General features: G+C 48.0%; 1 protein-coding gene across 6 annotated transcripts in view, besides 5 other annotated features; it reads right to left on the bottom strand.

Moving 5' to 3' along the window:
• Positions 2,888 to 3,531: an enhancer, noted in NCBI's record as "NANOG-H3K4me1 hESC enhancer chr12:4966717-4967360 (GRCh37/hg19 assembly coordinates)". NCBI's record gives its function as "activates a minimal SCP1, AML or CMV promoter by ChIP-STARR-seq in naive H9 embryonic stem cells {active_cell/tissue: H9 hESC(naive)}" and the evidence as "EXISTENCE:reporter gene assay evidence [ECO:0000049][PMID:30033119]".
• Positions 3,065 to 3,359: an enhancer, noted in NCBI's record as "tiled region #168; HepG2 Activating non-DNase unmatched - State 4:PromP". NCBI's record gives its function as "activates a minimal TATA promoter and a strong SV40 promoter by Sharpr-MPRA in HepG2 cells {active_cell/tissue: HepG2}" and the evidence as "EXISTENCE:reporter gene assay evidence [ECO:0000049][PMID:27701403]".
• Positions 5,387 to 5,436: an enhancer, noted in NCBI's record as "active region_5834". NCBI's record gives its function as "activates an Ori minimal core promoter by ATAC-STARR-seq in GM12878 lymphoblastoid cells {active_cell/tissue: GM12878}" and the evidence as "EXISTENCE:reporter gene assay evidence [ECO:0000049][PMID:35858748]".
• Positions 5,447 to 5,496: an enhancer, noted in NCBI's record as "active region_5833". NCBI's record gives its function as "activates an Ori minimal core promoter by ATAC-STARR-seq in GM12878 lymphoblastoid cells {active_cell/tissue: GM12878}" and the evidence as "EXISTENCE:reporter gene assay evidence [ECO:0000049][PMID:35858748]".
• Positions 6,970 to 7,470: an enhancer, noted in NCBI's record as "H3K4me1 hESC enhancer chr12:4962778-4963278 (GRCh37/hg19 assembly coordinates)". NCBI's record gives its function as "activates a minimal SCP1, AML or CMV promoter by ChIP-STARR-seq in naive H9 embryonic stem cells {active_cell/tissue: H9 hESC(naive)}" and the evidence as "EXISTENCE:reporter gene assay evidence [ECO:0000049][PMID:30033119]".
• The window catches only part of KCNA6 (potassium voltage-gated channel subfamily A member 6), a 41,779-nt gene continuing 34,259 nt past the window's right edge, over positions 9,970 to 17,489 (bottom strand). For all 6 annotated transcript variants that reach the window (NR_172523.1, NR_172524.1, NR_172525.1 and 3 more), the window contains one exon: positions 9,970 to 10,344. The gene's annotated coding sequence lies outside the window, so the exon portion shown is untranslated. The remainder of the gene's footprint in view (positions 10,345 to 17,489) is intronic.

Below are 17,489 nucleotides of genomic sequence, written 5' to 3'. Positions count from 1 at the left end.
TCCTTCTCACTTCTTGGTACAACTGAAGATTGGCAGGAGGACTCAGAGAGCACCAGGAATCCCCAGTTATTTTCAGAGCAGTTCCAGGCCCTGACCCTGCGGCCTAAGTCCTGCAAGGAGACAGCAAGGAGAAGCATGAGAGGCTCACGCAATGGGGTGGCCGCAGGGCTCCTGCGAGGGCAGTCCCCTGTCTATTCACTGAGAGGAAAGCTCTTTAGCTCTGTTTGGAAGCATTTTCACCAACTCTGTCTGGAATCTTCCACCCAGGCCCTTCTCCCTGACTACTCCATCCTAGTCTTGTGAATCCAGACCCCAAATCCACAGACCTTGGAGTTATACACTAAGGGCTGGACTCAGGAGTGGAAGAAAGAGCAGGTCTAGGGGAGTCTCCGAGGACACCGCAGCCTGTTACTGTCTCTGCCCAAGTCACTCTGAATGGCTCTCCTCTGATTCCTCCTTTTCCTCCTTCTTCTTTCCCTCCTGGGGAGCCCAGGACAAGATCACCGCCTGGCTGTATCCTCCCTGTCGCAGCGGGAGCCTATCCACCCTGGTCTCCATCTTGTGACACACGAGGTCCCCTCTTCACCCAGGACTTCAGCTTTGCCCTCTTGGGGCTGGCTTCAGGCCCAAGGCATGATCCAAAACTTTCCACAGCTCAGTTTGCAGAGACAAGGGAGTGCCATGGAAAGAGGAGATGCAGAAGCCATCTGAACACAGACGTTTAGGAAAAAGGAAGGAAAGTACAGTCAATTAAACCCACTGCCATGTTGGAGGGCAATGTCATTGTGGCCGCTGGGATGGGAAGATAGTCAGGCAGCTCTGGCCCCGAAGCCTGGGGTGACTGGAGGGAGGAGCATGGTGAGTCCCTCGTATGCTCTCCAGCATGAGAAAGCAGCCCACTCTGCCCTGCCTGGGCACCACGCTTCTCCCAACCTTCCCCAGGTCTCTCCTGATACCCTCTCTTCCTCAGGAAGGTGCCAGCACCCCCACTGCTCTGGCCTGTCCCACCTAACTCTCTCTGAAGTCCCTGTGAGAAACACTGAATGATGTGGCCTCCGTAAGTCCTTTAAAAATAGACTGTGGATCCCCTGAAAAAAAAAAAAAAGTCCCTGTCTAAAAATAGCTCTCAGCATCTAGGGGAGAAAAAAAGAAACTGCAGCAAAATTCAACTGGAGCAGTGACTTTCCTGTCTCTGATGTTCCGGGTCAGCTCCAGCACTGGAGAAGGCTGCGAGGGAGACAGGGGAGGAGAGGGTCCTTCAAGGACAGAGGAAGGATCAGAATCTCAATCTGCAGCAAACACCTCTCTCCATTCCCTGACTTGTGGTCATTGGGCCCTGCCTGGTCCAAGCAGCCAGGCAGTGCTCAAGACAGCAGCACGGAGCAGCAGATCCCTGGGTTGGCAATAGGAGCCTTGAAGAGTGGCCGCAGGGATCCAGGGATGGAGAGGCCTCCCAGGCATGGGTGCACCGCCCTGCAGAGGCCCTAAGGATGTGTACTCAGTGGAAGCTGGAGTCAGGACCAGATCTGATGCTGAAAGTACCTGTGAGCCAAATAGCTCGGAATGACTAAGGGGTGAGGGAGATGCTCTCTCTTGAAGAGCCACTGCTTCTGCATTCAACAAAGGTGAAAAGGAACCCTTTTGGGAACTGTCACTCAGAAAAGTCAGAACTCCTATCCAGGACTTGAGTGCAGGAGAAGGGGAGCCCCATGGACTTCTTTGTGTAAGATCCTTTCTGTGGCTGGCAGTGAGAGAATAGCATAGAGACATGATTTTACCTGCTAAAAATGTTTTAAGGAATATGAAAAGGATGCATACATACACACACACACACACACACACACACACACACACACACACACACACGCTTTTCAATTATGAGAGACAGGGTCTGCTTATTTTGCTCATGCCAGAAAACTATCACAGTAAGCTGGAGAAAAGTCAGGCTGCAGCTTAAGAAGGAAGACTCCTGGTCCCTCTGTTTAGCTGTGATGGGGGCTCCCTCCGAACAGTGAGTTGCATGTGTTGGTCACAGGGACAAGTGAATGTTAGTAAGCTAATGAGATCATTTTTTGGAACTATACGCCAAGTCCTCAAACTAAATGTTTATAGCTAATGTTTTGTTATGATAATTTGCCATTGAGGTGTACACCCTCATGCCCACAAACACACACGTTATGGAAATTTGTTCCTCGAATTAATACCTATGCAGCCCACCATGGATTCTGCACGTCCCAACATCACCTGGGCTCATATCTTATCTCCGAAACCATTAGAAGGCCACTGTCATGCCGAGAAAGGGAACAGAGTGGTTTTTAGGGACTGAAATGCAAGTCCCTGCGGGATCACTTGTTAGAGATTAAGCTGTTTCCAAAGCTGTGGTCCTGGGAAAGAGGCTTAATGAGGGAGAAAGAGGCAGGGACGCCACGGACCGGTTAGGCGGCACGTTCCTGCTCAGCAGGCACTGTGGCTGTTATGCTGCCCTCTGTGGCGGTCAGAATATGCGTGTCCCCAGAAGACAGCAGCTGACAGGGCATGCGGCAGCACTCACAAGAGGTCATGACCCATACTTGTTTGCAAGTTCAAGGCAGGTAAAATAACCTCTCAGTCATTTTTGTCTTCTTAGCCCCAAAACCTGCTTTCCTGTCTTTTTCTCCCTTAGGAATTACTCTGCCTCCCCCACCCCAAGGGACCTCATCCTGACCTATGCCACAACATTCAGGGTTGACAGCCACCTGCAAGCTGGCCAGTCCAAACCCCAGGCATGCCTCCCCTTCTCTCCACGACGCTCCTGGGCAGGGAACATCTGGGTCCCGCCAGCCCAGCCCTCCCTTGCTGGCATTTTGCCCAGCTCCTTTCCCTCTCTCCTGAGCTTACTCTATCTGCAAAGCCAGGAGAGCGACCTGTGTTTCTTCTCATACTACAGGTCACCCGCGGCATAAACGGCTTAATGTGGATGTACTTTAAGGAAAGGGAGGAAAACCAAACAACTTAGAAAATCAACCATCCCCCCTCCCTGCCAAGCCTTGGTTCTCGACGGTGTCTGTGCACATCAAGATTGCAGCGATGTGCGGGGGCCTCGGGCACGCAGTGTTGCAGTATTTTCTGAAAGGCTTTGCTCGCTCTCTTCAGTACTTTTCCTCTTCTCACAGCCTGGAGCCTGCAGAGAAATAGCCCTGGTTCCCCCTAGTGGCAGAAGCTCATAGCGCCGACCTGGGACACTTCCCACGATCGTGGTAATTAGCCAGTAGTTTAGTTACAACCACACTCTCATTAACTAACAGCGGGAGAAGAGACTGTCCCTGTTTCCTTGGAGACCTAGCAGCGCGTGCTTCTATTGCATTGACTGTTCCTGTAAGCTCAAAAGCCCCCAGGTTGTTATCGCATAGTGTTTACTGCATTGGATGGAGACCAAGACCTGGTAACACTGTGTTCCCCGCCGGTGCTTCTCAAAGTGTGGTCCTTGACCTATGCATCAGCATCACCTGGGAGCTGGATAGAAATGCAAATTCTCAGGCCTCTTACGCCTACTGAGTCCATAACTCGGGGGTTCAGAGCCCAGGAATCTGCATTTTGACAAGTTCTCCAGCTGATTCTGATCCACAATGAAGAATGAGGACTGACCTAGACAAAGCATGCCCTGGTATTTTGTTCCTATTAATAACCAGAAACAGCTGGGCACAGTGGCTCACACCTGTTATCCCAGCACTTTGGGAGGCCGAGGCAGGCAGATCACCTGAGGTCAAGAGTTTGAGACCAGCCTGACCAACATGGAGAAACCCCATCTCTACTAAAAATATAAAATTAGCCGGGCGTGGTGGCACATGCCTGTAATCCCAGCTACTCAGGAGGCTGGAGATTCGCTTGAACCCGGGAGGCGGAGGTTGCAGTGAGCCAAGATCACGCCATTGCACTCCAGCCTGGGCGACAAGAGGGAAACTGAAAAAAAAAAAAAAAACAGAGACTTTTCCCATTAAAGAGCTAAACAAAAGGAAGTGGAAAGATACTTCTTCCTTGTTCCAAGCAATATGTACCCAATATGATTCCAATCAATAACATTTATGTATTGACTGGAATGAGAAATGCCTTCTCCCAGGTTTGTCTCTAAGGAGATTCCCCTACTCCCCCCATCGTCATCCACTTCGTCATCTAAACCCGCCTTGGAATGGAGTCACTGAAGCATCTCCAAGAGATGAAGCAGTACTTGGAAATTAAAAGCAGTGAGGACTCTGTCACCAGCAGGCGAGGTGGCCTCACAGAGCCCCCTGAGCTGGCACCGGCTGGCACAAGGTAAGCAGGACCAAAAAAGAAACCAGACACCAGGCAAGTGACTGTTGACACAGGAAATGTAAGCCTTAGCCCTGTGCTTGCACTTTTCCAGCCTAGTGCTGTGAAATGCATAAATTACTGTCAACATTGTTGAGCTCAGAAGGGCTCAGCATCACTTTGATGAGTTGACTGGTTCTAAGAGGCCAATCTCATTTTATTTTAACCAGTATTTTTTTTTTAAATGCTTGCTTATGTGGGAGATGGGGGCCGCTTTTAATATGCTTCAGACTGCGGAAAGTAGCAAGTTGGTGACAAATGACCCATAACACAGGAGGAAAAACTGAACGTACCACTGTCTATTGCAGGAGGAAACCTGGAGATCACCTAAATCAACTTCCCGCTTGCCAGAGGGGGAAACCAAGGCCCTGAGTGGAAGACTGACACCAGAGGAAAAAGGGTTGCATACAAGGTCACCTTCCATGTCTCCCCTCCTCACTCCGGGTCCAGTGATCAGGTAGGCGTTCAAAATAATTCAGCCTGATTCTTAGCCTGGTGAGATTCAAGAAAATCTGTAAGCAAGTGGTATTTAATTTGACTTGGAAAATCATTTTTCCAAAGGACACCTGATCCCTTTGCTGTGTTATATCCTGGTCCCTACAGATAATATCCCTCCACAGAGCACACTGAGCCAAAGTTCCCAGGGCGTCCAGCCTCTGCGTGGAGTTTCCAGGAACACTTCCTGCTGCTTCCTCTACGACCTCTTCCTGGAAGTTGCAGGCACCCATAAGCAAGGACTCTCTAAGATGTCCACTTGCTTTCACAGGCCAGGAGATCGGGAGCCTTTGAGGCCTCAGCTCCCCTACATCTACTTGGAATCCCCGAGCAGCCACCTTTACTTCTGCACCCAATACCTCCGGCGGAGTGGGGCAGAAGGGCAGGTGATTGCCCCTTAACTGGTCATCCAGCCACATCTGGACGGCTGGCCGCACCTCTGTCAAAGGGGAAGAGAATCCGGCAGCCCCTTAGGAAGGCAGTGCTGACTCCTAGCCCTGAGTAGGTTCACACCGCAGGCTGGGTTGGTCCTTCCCTGTGAGCTCTTCCAACAGGCATGGCTTACCCCAGGGCAGCACTGAGCGTCTAGGGAGAAATATTAAATACAAGTGGTGATGTCTCCCTCTAGTGGAGAGTAGTCAGAATGCGAATGTGGCTCTGAATCTTCAAGGAAGGCAGGAAGGGCTCTGCTGGAAGCTACAGGGCTGATGTGTGCGGCTCAAAGATTCTCATGCCTCATGACCTGAGGGCCATGTGTGTGGCCCTCAGGTCACACACACAGCTTCTAGAGGAAGCTGTGTGTGTGTTTGTTTGTTTGTTTCATCATGTCCAGCACGTGGAGGCCTTGGCCATAAAGACAATCACTCTTCATCCCATAAAGACAATCAATCACTCTTCATCTCTGACTGTAGCCTCACTGTCAGCCACAGGTGGGCTTGAAGCCAGAGCTCCTGGAGTGCTGCTCCCCTACCTTGGAAGCCTCTTTCAGCCCCGCCTCGCCGTGAACCAACCACCCTCCCTTCCCTGAAGCTTGCTTTCCTCCGTTTGCTAGGGGGTGTGGTATGCAGGTCCACCCACTGACCTCCCATCTCTAAAATGTTCTGACACACAAGGACTCCACAGAGATGACTGAATGAGTTCATGGTTCATTGTTCATCTAAGAGGCAGCCAGGAGAACTGTTCATGGCCTTCTACACTTGGAGGGAGCGCGGCAGCCACACGCACTTTCACGAACATCACCGCACTTTGCTGTCGCGATGACCATCAGATTCACCTTATCCTCACCTCTCCCACTTCGCCCCAGCCACCAGGTTGGCTTTGTGTTCTGAGATTGAGCTAAGAGAGATAGGTCCTTCTCTGCAGCCCACAAAGCCAAAGCAGGCCCAGGGTTCAATCAGGGCTGTTGGCTTGGCCTAGGAGCCCCATGAAACTGAAGCTGAGGAATTCCAGTCTTCCTTAGCAGAAAGGGAAAGTCTGTGTGACCCATCCCATAATAGTGATGATAATAATGATGATGGTTAACACTTAGGCATGCTTCCCGCCAGGCAGGCACAGGAAGCACTGTGCTTACAGCAACTCACTTAATCATCCCAGCAACCCTATGTCACAGGTCATCCCAAAAACCTGCCACTCTTGCCTGGACCCAGAATCACTGTAATAAGAGCCAGAGTCACCTGGTTATTATAACTTCCTGCCACAGAGCATGGATGCTTAACAGGTGTGGAATTTACATGCATCTCCCTAGCCAAGAGGAGAGGGCTTCCATTTTCCAGCATGGACTTAGAAATCGGTTCACCCTTGGTTATTCTCATGACAGTTACTAATCTCAGAATTACTAAGTGGGAAGAGACACTGGAGATGATCTGGTCCATTTCCCCATTTCCCAGGTGAGCTAACTAGGGAATGAAGATGTGGAGTGCTGATGTGAATCCCACAGTGAGGTAGTGGCAGGGCTGCGGCTGCCCCCCAGCTCTCTATGCTTCAGCCCAAAGCTTTTCCACTCTCCCATGCTGTGGCCGCCATGTACTCGAGTGAATTAACAGCCCTGAGGTCTGCCCTTCGACAGCCCAGGAAGCTCCATGGTCATCAGCCAGCCCAGCTGAGCTCTGGAAGCAGAATCTTTCAAATATCAGCCTACAGCACCCAAGAGTGTCCTGGCAAATTGTTTCTCTGTTACCTCACCCTGAAAATAAAGACAAGAGTCACCCCTGGAGAGACACATTCCAAAGACAAGCAGACGCAGAGGGCAGGGCCAGCTGGAGGGCAGCCTGGGCCATCAGCCCTCCTGCTCGCATCATGGTGGGGGGCCATCCCCCATTATCTGTCCACTCTGGAAGAGACCACCCTGGCCCCTCCTCAGGAGCTATGATGGAGGTGTTCTCAGCCTCCTACTGGTTTTTCTTCTTTTCTCCAGAATGGTTTCAGGTCCTTCTGCTGAGGCACTCCACATACCCAGCTTTCCCTTCCCCACCACCTCTATCCCAGAGTATTTGGTGTCCTGCTTCCCATTTTGGAGTAGCTTCCAGCAGATGTCACTTGCCAGCTGGAGTCAGTGCCAGTCATATCCCCAACTTTCCTAGGAGTGGCTAGGTGGAAGGAGCACCTTCCAGATAGTCTGTCTCTACGGCTCTGTCGCCATAGACTTGGTGGCATTTCCCTGGCCCGAGGGTACTTTAGGGTTCTCTAGCTACTTTCTTGTGGGTGCTCTGTCACATGGCCAGCCAAGAAGCAGACCTGGCCTGCTCTAGTGTGAGTGTGGAAAGTGGGAATGTGAAGAAGGTAGTGAATAAAATTGGGGGGTGGGTGTGTGAAGGGCAGGAAGGGTGAGAAACTCAGAATGAATCACAGACACTCAGATGCCTCCCACCCCAACACGGGGTCAGGAAGACAGGCAGGGAGTGCAATGACAGTGTCTCCTCCCACTGGCTTCCTCGAGAGAAAGGTGGAGGCTGGGACATGGGGTCAGGCCCCGCTAGACCTGCTCTGAAACATGGAGGAGGGTCGGCCGGCATCAGAGCCTGCTTCGCTGGCTAGGGTGGCCCCGCAGGCCAGCCTCTGGGAGCTTCTCAGAGGGGTGGTAACCAGCCCCAAGCAGCAGCCAGGAAGAGGGGTCCAGCCTCCAGGGCCCAGTTGCTGGCTCAACTGCCTTTCCCTTCTTCCACCCACCACTCAAGTTCACCACCTTGGAGTCCTCCTGGCCTCCGCTTTCTCTCACGCCCACTCCGCATCCAGTTCCTCCTGTTGGCACGCTCTGCAAAATGATCAGGATCTGTCCGCGTCTCCACCTCCACTGCGACAGCCTAGTCCAAACCATCCTCAGCTCCCTGCTGGATTATTCAAACAGCCTCCTAACTGGCAATTCTGTTACAATTTACGTCCGGTCATATCCCATCTCTGCTCAAAACCCTGGAGGAATGGCCTCTCCTCCAACTCAGAGTATAAGCAAAGACCTGCAAGGCCCCGGCTGATGGGCCCCACTCTCCACCACTCAACTGTCCCTGGCCCCACCTCCTGCTCTCCTGCTGGCTCACTGCCCCCCGCATGCCACAATGCTCTCCTTGCTGTTCCTGGAACATGCCAGCCACACACCCACCTCAGGGCCTTTGCACTTGCTCCTTCTCCGAGAACGTTTCTAATTTCTAACCCTCCCCTGCACTGCACATCTACCTGGCTCCCTTTGGCCTCATTCTGCTGTTAATGCAAACATTACCTTGTAAGTCATACTTTCCTTGTCTCCCTTGCTTTAAGCTGCTGTCCACCCCGCGACACACACACACACACACACACACACACGCACACGCATGCAATCACACACACACACACACGCGATCACTCACACACACACATACTCCTGCTGTATTCTCTAGCCCCCTTGCTTGATTTTCCTCTGTTGCCTATACTCTCCTAGCATACAACATATTTTAATTATTTATTGTATTGTGTGCCTTTCTCCCCAACCAGAACCCAGCCTTCATAGGGGCATGGGCTCTTGTTGCTTTATTCATTTCATTCACCTAGAAAAGTGCTCAGTACATAGTGGGCACTCAATGAACGCTTGCTGAGTGATGAACAAATCAATGCTAGACATGGTTTGGGAAACAGACCCTCACAGGAGATGTCAGAATTGTTGGGTTTATGTAGTCAGAAATTGGGTAGAGTTCATCTAGTAGAGTTACTGGGTTTATTTAGAGAAGCCTGGCAGAGAAAAGGGGTGTGTATATGTTTGTGTGTGTGCGTGTTTTTCAGGGATGTTTGACAGCCACCTTCACTTGTAGTAAATAATGTGTGGGCTCCTGATTATTTGTATGTGTTTTAACCGTATGTATTAACCAGATCCAGCACTTCCTTCATTTATTTCCTCACTCATTCATTCACCACACATTGTATGAGTGACAATTCTGTATCAGGTGCTCTGCTAGACACATGGCGAAGGCTACGGTCCCTGCTGTCCAGACTTCTGCAGCAACGTCATGAAGCCCCAGCACTCAGGACAATCTGGGAGGGTGTGGGCATTAAAGCAACCTGGAGCCTCAGCAACACCTCATTAGGAAACAAAATTCCACACAAGAAAATCATCCTAGTCCTTCATTTTGTCAGGAAGTGGAAAAGATACGTGAATGAGTGACTAGCAGTGGGAATGTCCCCCACCAGAGATCCTAGAAGAGTGCAAGGGCTTGTTTGATTGTTAAGAAGTAGCATTACCCCCTTCCACTGAGGACAGGCCAAGAGAGAACAGCTGTCAGTTGCAAGAACAATGCGGGTGACTAGAAAGAACATCCTTACTGTTACCTGGGAGACCCCGCACACAGCATCATCTGGCCTCTGGGAAGTCCATGTAAAAAAATAACTCTGCCCTTGATATTTGCCCACTCGTGTGTCTATCAGAGGCAGATAACTCTTAGATCATGGGTTACGCATCTTACTTTCTTGCAGAATGTCCCCTATCTGTGGGCCGGCTCATGGCAGAGGGTGATCAAGCCCTCTTCCTGGTGATCTATGTGTGGCCATCACATCCTCCTGTGTAGTGAGGATGCCCAGCAAGCTGCAGGTGCTCTGAATTTTGGATCCCTGCCTACTCTTGTGGAGACCGCTTGGCTTGTCTGCCTAACTTGGCCGTCGACGTTTTCTCATGGCATAATGCACAGCCTCTGAGACTTTGCCTTGTGTTTATTTGCCATTCTTCCACAGCCACCCTTGTCCTGGGGGGGTCTGCAACATACCCATGCACCTCCCGGAATCCCCTGACCACCCCATAGCTGGTCTCTTTGCTCACACCACCAGCTTTCACCCTGTTCCTACAGCTTCACCCCAACATTCTGGGCCCCATCTTTAGGGACAACGGGTCTGGTCTCAACTTTTTCTGGCTTGGTTGCTGCTTGTGGGAGGCCTCCAGAGCGGTGTCAGGCCAGATGCCTGCCAGCGGTGCCAGGCAGGGTTCTCGTCTTCTGAAGAAGTTGAGGGTCCAGCTGCTGTCAGAATTCTATGCATAGATGTCCTTGCTTGCACCACCTGCCAGCATTTTTCCTGCCAGGGAGGAACCAGAACAAAAGGACATGTAGTTAGTGATATGAGGTTGTGTCGCATGAGGGATGGAACTGAGAAACCTGGACACACCAGTGTCCTTCCTCACCCCGCTGGCATTTGCCTAGTGAGCTCCTACCGAGTCCCCATCCTTAGGTGCTCTGGTCTGTTCAAACTGTACCTCCCACTGCCACCCACTGAACTCCAGCAACTAATCAGTGACTATGAGCTTGTACAACCTGAAGCCATTTCTGCCCGTGTTGTCCTTAATACTGCTGTCATTAATACTCCACCTTTAATGGCCCCTGAGTCCCTCTAGAGTCAAGTCCAAGCCATGTGCCTGACTTCCAGGCCCCAGAAGGCACAGTCTCATCTGATCTATCCAGCTGCTCTCACTGCTCCCTGACACCTCCCACCATCCACATGGTCGAGGGGTCCCCCTCTCGGACCCTCAGCCTGCACCAGCGTCAGGCGCGTTCCTCTCTCCCTGAAAGAGTTCCTGCCACCACCTGGCTCCTCCTTACCCCGCCCCTACCATGCCGGAATGTTCTCGAGTCTCCTTCCCACAATGCTGAGTCCAGTCCCTCTAGGCCCGGCTGAACCCCCACCTCCAAGAGCCCCTTTGGCTGTCCCCTGCGTGACTGATCTCTCTGCTGCCTTTACCATCTGGCCCACACTCTATTGCAAAGCCTGTGAGATGTGCTGCCCGAAGTCCTGTGTTTAACATCCGCCTCTGCCGTGGCCTGGGCAAAGTTAAACTCCTCACTTGTCATACCTGACACAATGCGTGTGTCTCTGTGACTACCACAAAGCACTCCAAGGGCAAGCCAGCGTAGCCAAACAAACCAGCAATCATTGTCATTTCTGTTTCTGCACGTGAAACGGAAGCAACGACAACAAGGTGTTTGTGAAACTGCTTTGGAAAAGGTAAATAAGGTTTCCATAAACTCCAGTTGGTATCATGATTGTGCCCATGCAATAGATTTCTGCAGAAGGAAAAGACTTCATATTTGTAATTTAAATCATTTGGGAGCAAGCCCAAAGGTCCATAACATGGAGTAACTTGTAATCTTACTCAAGCACAAATTTAACTGTAAAGCCTGGTGCTCAGGACAGCAGTTTGCCTGGTGACAGTCACTGACTGTCTGGCGTCAGACTCACAAGGACATTGCCCAGAGGCTTCCTGCTGGCTTCGTCAGGGTGCAATAGCTCTTGCAAAGTGGTAAAAAAAAAAAAAAAAAAAAAAAAAAAGAGCAAAAATCTCTGTGTGAAATTCCAGTGGCCATCAGGTGAAAGGTAACACCTTAGCAAATGGTCAAAGTTTTCTTTGGTTGTTTCAAAGGGAAATGAACAGAAAGCTCATTGCTCTTCCCACACACATGTGATTCAGGAAAAGACTGTACAGGCACTTTTGCGTTCATAAATGTGGAGTTGTGTCAGGTGCCTGAACACAAGTTCCAAACGCTACGGGTCATTAGACTCAATTCTCCTGCTATGAATGTAAATTAAACATCATAAGCTTTCTCCCTGGACTGCTCTATGGCGCCACCTACAGCATGTTCTTAGGGAATGCACCGTAATTTTTTATTTTATTTTATTAATTTTTATTTTATTTTTATTTTTTGAGATGGGGTCTCGTTCTGTCGCCAGGCTGGGTGCAATGGCGATCTTGGCTCACTGCAACCTCCGACTCCCGGGGTTCAAATGATTCTCCTGCCTCAGCCTCCCGAGTAGCCGGGATTACAGGCGCCCGCTACCACACCCGGCTAATTTTTGTATTTTTAGCAGAGACGGGGTTTCACCGTGTTGGCCAGGATGGTCTCAATCTCGATCTCCTGACCTCGTGATCCGCCTGCCTCCGCCTCCCAAAGTGCTGGGATTACAGGCGTGAGCCACTGAATGCACCGTAATTTTTATATAAGCCCAAAGAAAACATTACTGGGGAAGTCCATCTGATCTAGAGTTTAAAATGGCTGATTAAAAAGTTGGGATCAACTCGACCAACATGGAGAAACCCCGTCTCTACTAAAAATACAAAATTAGCCGGGCGTGGTGGTGCATGCCTGTAATCCCAGCTACTCGGCAGGCCGAAGCAGGAGAATCGTTTGAACCTGGAAGTCGGAGGTTGCGGTGAGCCGAGATCGAGCCATTGCACTCCAGCCTGGGCAACAAGAGCAAAACTCCATCTCAAAAAACATTTTTTTAAAGTTGGATTTTTTTTTTTTTGCTCCCTCCTGAAACCCTACAAAAATAACAGTGTAGGAAAATTTTACGGAGGAGAGAGGAGGTAAATTACATAGACAAATAAATCAGAATAGTGGATGAAAATATTAAAAGCCAATTTGCAGATGATGGAAAGCCCCTGGAGAAATAGCATTTTACTTGGGAGGGGGCAAGATTTAAAGCCTGAGTCCCTGCTGATGTCAGTGAGATACAACCTGATTTACCCCCAGGAACCTATAAAGGCTCAGGAGTTGAGGGTGTCAGTTGACAGAAGCAGGGTTGAGGGGCAGAGCTAAAAACTGGTTGCAGGTGGACACACCTTTTCAGGTCTCCTTTGCAACCTCACAAAGCCAAGCACCTACTCATCCCACCACCTTGTCAAAAGATGTAAAATTTATTCTGGAGAAACTAGACCAGAAAGGCCTAGACTCAAGGAAAGCTGGCACCATATAAGGCTCTGGAGGAACTGTACTGAAAGCAAGGAGTTAAGTGTGAGGGGAAAGTCCACATGCTGAATGGTGAGACAGTTGGCCACTTCCCCTGCTCTGCTCCCAGGGTAATATCAAACAGGCAGTTGGAGAATATTTTCCTGGAAAAACCAAAGGATTCCAAGAAAAAAAGGCCTGTAGACACTGGAGGCCCCCAGTGAGACAGCCTGATCCCAGCTTCATCACTCTGCAGTAAGCTCACCACTCCACAAGCTCCAAAGACACAGAGATTCCAGTAAGCTTCTTAGTATTTCACTCATGAAAATGAACAGAGATCATCAAATTACAAACATCTCAGGAAAGCCTCTGAAAGGTCAAAACCAAAGACAGAAACTCAGAGAAAACAGAAAATTCCAGAAGCAAGAAAAAAACTTCAGACATATTAAAAAGCCTCAGATAAATAAGATGGACTATTTTATCCATGAAAGAAGAACAGGCTGCTATTAAAAAAAGGAACCACCCAAGAAGAAGGAAATAATTCTTTGGAAATTAAAAATATGACAGCCAAAATCAAAACTTCAACAGAAGAGCTAGAAACTAGGGTTGAGGAACTCTCCCAGAAAGTAAAATGGAAAAGAATAGAGAAAAAATAAGGAAATTTGAGAACCAGCCCAGGGGATCCAGAGTTATAGAAAAAGAGAACAGGCAAAAAGAATGAAAGAATATTATTAAAGAAATAGTTTTTTAAACGTTCAAGAATTGAAAACATGCATTTCCAGACCCAGAGTGCCCAATGAACACTCAAGAAAATGGATAAAGATAGACCTACATCAAGGTATAGCATCATGAAATTTAGAAATTAAGATATCAGATTTTACCAAAAGCATCATTAGAAACTAGAAGACAATGGGGGTGGTTTTCAAACTCAAATGCTATCCTCATCAAAGCAACTACTTGCAGCAGAGAGGCAGAGGGAAATCTTTGGACAATAATAAAGAGGTGTTCCGGCTGGGCGTGGTGGCTCACGTCTGTAATCCCAGCACTTTAAGAGGCCAAGGCAGGTGGATCACGAGGTTAGGAGATCGAGACCATCCTGGCTAACACGATGAAACCCCGTCTCTACTAAAAATTAAAAAAAAAAAAATTAGCTGGGCGTGGTGGCGGGCGCCTGTAGTCTAAGCTACTTGGGAGGCTGAGGGAGGAGAATGGCGTGAACCCAGGAGGCAGAGCTTGCAGTGAGCTGAGATAGCACCATGGCACTCCAGCCTGGGCAACAGAGCGAGACTCCGTCTCAAATTAAAAAAAAAAAAAAAAAAAAAAAAAAGAGGTGTTCCAGGACAGTGGTGAAGCAACAGGCCTAGACCATACTGGAGCAGTGGGACAGAGTGGCCCCAGAAGTCAAGATGAAGGTGAGAGAGAGCCTGGTGCATTTGCATGTAGGAGGAGATTGACATTTCTGGTGGGAAGTTTACTGAACTCCACTCTCCATTTGGGTATCAGTGATAGGTATATAGAAAACTCAACAAGGAAAAAGAAGATGTTCAGTAACTCCAGAAGAAAGCAAAAAGTAGTACAAGAAAGGAAACACAAATACAACACTGGACATTATGTCGCTCGAGGAGGAATACTATTGACACCATCATAATAAAGTAGGATGAACACTGAACTAATAAATATGTCATTTATATTACAGTTGGTTGAGATGGGTATGTGTCTATATTGTGGAGAGTAACGGTGGGCAGTGTAAGAAAGCTAAATCCTTATCTTCCATAGTTGGAAGTCAATTTTCCTAAGACTTAAAAAATAAAAATTAAAAAGCAATGTTAGTATGTTACAGGTCTAGCATCCCTAATCCCAAAATCCAAAATCCAAAATGCTCCAAAGTCTGAAACTTGTTGAGTGCCAACATGAAATAGTGACACCTTTGCTTTCTGGGGGTTCGATGTACACAAACTTTGTTTCATGCACAGAGTTATTTAAAAATTACCTTCAGGCTATGTGTACAAAGTGTATATGAAACATAAATGAATTTTGGTTTAGACTTGGGTACCAACCCCAAGATAACTCATTATGTATATGCAAATATTCCAAAAAAAAAAAAAAAACTCTAAAATTCGAAACATGTCTGGTCCAGGTATGTGAGATAAAGGATCCGCAACCTGTACTGAGAAATCCAGTGACAAATGTAGAAGAAACAGCTAAAGAGTTCCAAGAAATTGTTTCTGAAGGATGCAAGATAGGGATGAGGAAGGCTAGGGCAGGGGATTGTTACTGTTGTTATAAGCCTTATTGAAATGTTTTACCTTTTTACCCTTAGACTAATATTTTAATTTAAAAGAAAAGAAACGACACATGAAAATGGCCCCAAACTGAGTCTCTGGACTGAAGAGGCTGAGTTCTGAGGTTGCCAGATTTAGCAAAAACAAACAAAAAAGGACACCAGGTACATTTAAATTTTACATTTAAATCTTTTAGTACAAGTATGTCCCAAACATTGCACAAATTACTCCTAGTTTATCTAAAATTCACATGTAACAGGCATCCTCTGTTTTTTCTAGGAACCGTGTGCCTAATGTCCAACACCTCCACAACAATGCACGTAACGTGACTGCGGAGCATCCAGAAAGAGAAAAGCTTAACAACCTGCAGAGGGACAGAAGTTCACGTACAAAGCAATCAGAAAAGCGTTGACTTCTTGCAGCAAGGGTGGAAGTTAGGAAACAGCAAAGCAATGCTTTCAAAATTCTAAGAAACCATGATACCCATTCTGGAATTTAACATCCATCCAGTAATTAATAAAGTTTGAGAACTGCATAAAGGCATTTTTAGGCATGAAAGCTCAAAACTGTACTTTCCATTTACCCTTTCTTACCCTACTGAAGGGTTTGTCCCATCCAGAGAAGAAATAAACCAAGAAAGAAGCAACATATAGCCCAGGAAAACGAAGACCCAATGTAGAAGGGAAGGAAAAAGATTCCCAGGACACCAGCTGTACAGGGCAGAGAGAAAGCAGGCAAGACAGTGGGGGAGGGAAGCTTCCGCAATGGAAGGCTCCAGGAGGAAAGGAACTGAATGGTCCAGAGCCTGATGCATCTGATCCCATAGAAAACCATGTTTAGAGGGTTTTTTCCAACTCTGTTGGAAAATCTGGAAAGAATTATAAACAGGAACACTGAAAATTAAGCAGGTGAAGAAAATGAGGCAATTATTAACAAAATGTTTACAAGAGATTAAATGAACATTATAATATACTGCTTGACAATGCAGAAAATAGTCTTTGATAGTGATAATGACAGATACACTGAACACTGATTTAACCAAAAAATTATGGGGGAGGCAAAGAAAGTGGTAGACAACATACATGTACAAAGGCAAGAGGTAATGCCCATCATGCAGAGTCACAGTCCTTATGGTAGCCCAAAGGCCCTATGCAATCTGTGTCACCCTGGCTTACCCCACCCAAATTACTCTCCTCCTCATTCACTTTCCTCCAGCAGTAAAGGCCCCTTTGCTGTTCTGTTCCTCAGTTACCCCATGTCCTCCCACCTCAGGGCCTTTGCACATGCTGTTCCCGTTGCTTAGCATGTCCTTCCCCTAATATCCACAAGGTCCAGTCCTCCCATCCTTCAGGCTCTGTGCTCAGATGCCATCTTCTCAGTAAGGTCACCGCCTTCTCCCACTACGTCATTTAACACTGTACTTCTTCCCTGACATTCCCTACATCACCTCTGCTGTTGTTCACTTTTCTCCATATTATTTATAATCATCTCTATAAAGGGCACCACCTCATTATAATGAGATGGTTATAGTAATATTTTATTTAAACATTTGCTTATTCTCCCTACTGGAAGGAAAGCACCACGAGGACAGGGAATTCTGTTTGCTACATGTATCCATAATTTGTTTGCCGATGCATCCATGGTTAGAACAGAGTGACTGGCACATAGTAGGTGCTTTAGAAAATGAAAAAGTAAATCAAGAAATAGCAACGTCTGCATTTACTGGGAAAAAATAAAGGTCAATCCCAGAAAACGAACTTAAAATAATTGAAAGTGGTCCCCCTGTGGATTGGCTTCATGGTAAGGAAGAGAGAGACATGGGCAAGCTGGTTTTCCTTGGAAGCCTTATACTATTGATATGGTTTTGGATCTGTCTCCACCCAAACTTTATGTCAAATGTAATCTCCAATATTAGAGGTAGGTCCTGGTGGGAGGTGACTGGGTAATGGGGGTGGAGTTCTCATGAATGGTTTGGCACCATGTCCTTGGTGCTGTCCTTGAGATAGCGAGTGAGTTCTCATGATATCTGGTTGTTTTAAAGTATGTGGCACTGCCCACCTCGCTCTCTTGCTTCTGGTTTCGCCACGTGAACTGCCTGCTCCCACTTTGACTTCTACCGTGAGTAAAAGCTCCCTGAAGCCTCCCCAGAAGCAGATGCCTCCATGCTTCCTGTACAACCCACAGAACCGTGAGCCAATTAAACCTCTTTTCTTATAAA

Source organism: Homo sapiens, chromosome 12 (assembly GCF_000001405.40).
Source record: "Homo sapiens chromosome 12, GRCh38.p14 Primary Assembly".
NCBI lineage: Eukaryota > Metazoa > Chordata > Mammalia > Primates > Hominidae > Homo > Homo sapiens.
The sequence above is the reverse complement of the archived record's forward strand: the minus strand, read 5'-3'. Positions and strand labels throughout refer to the sequence as shown.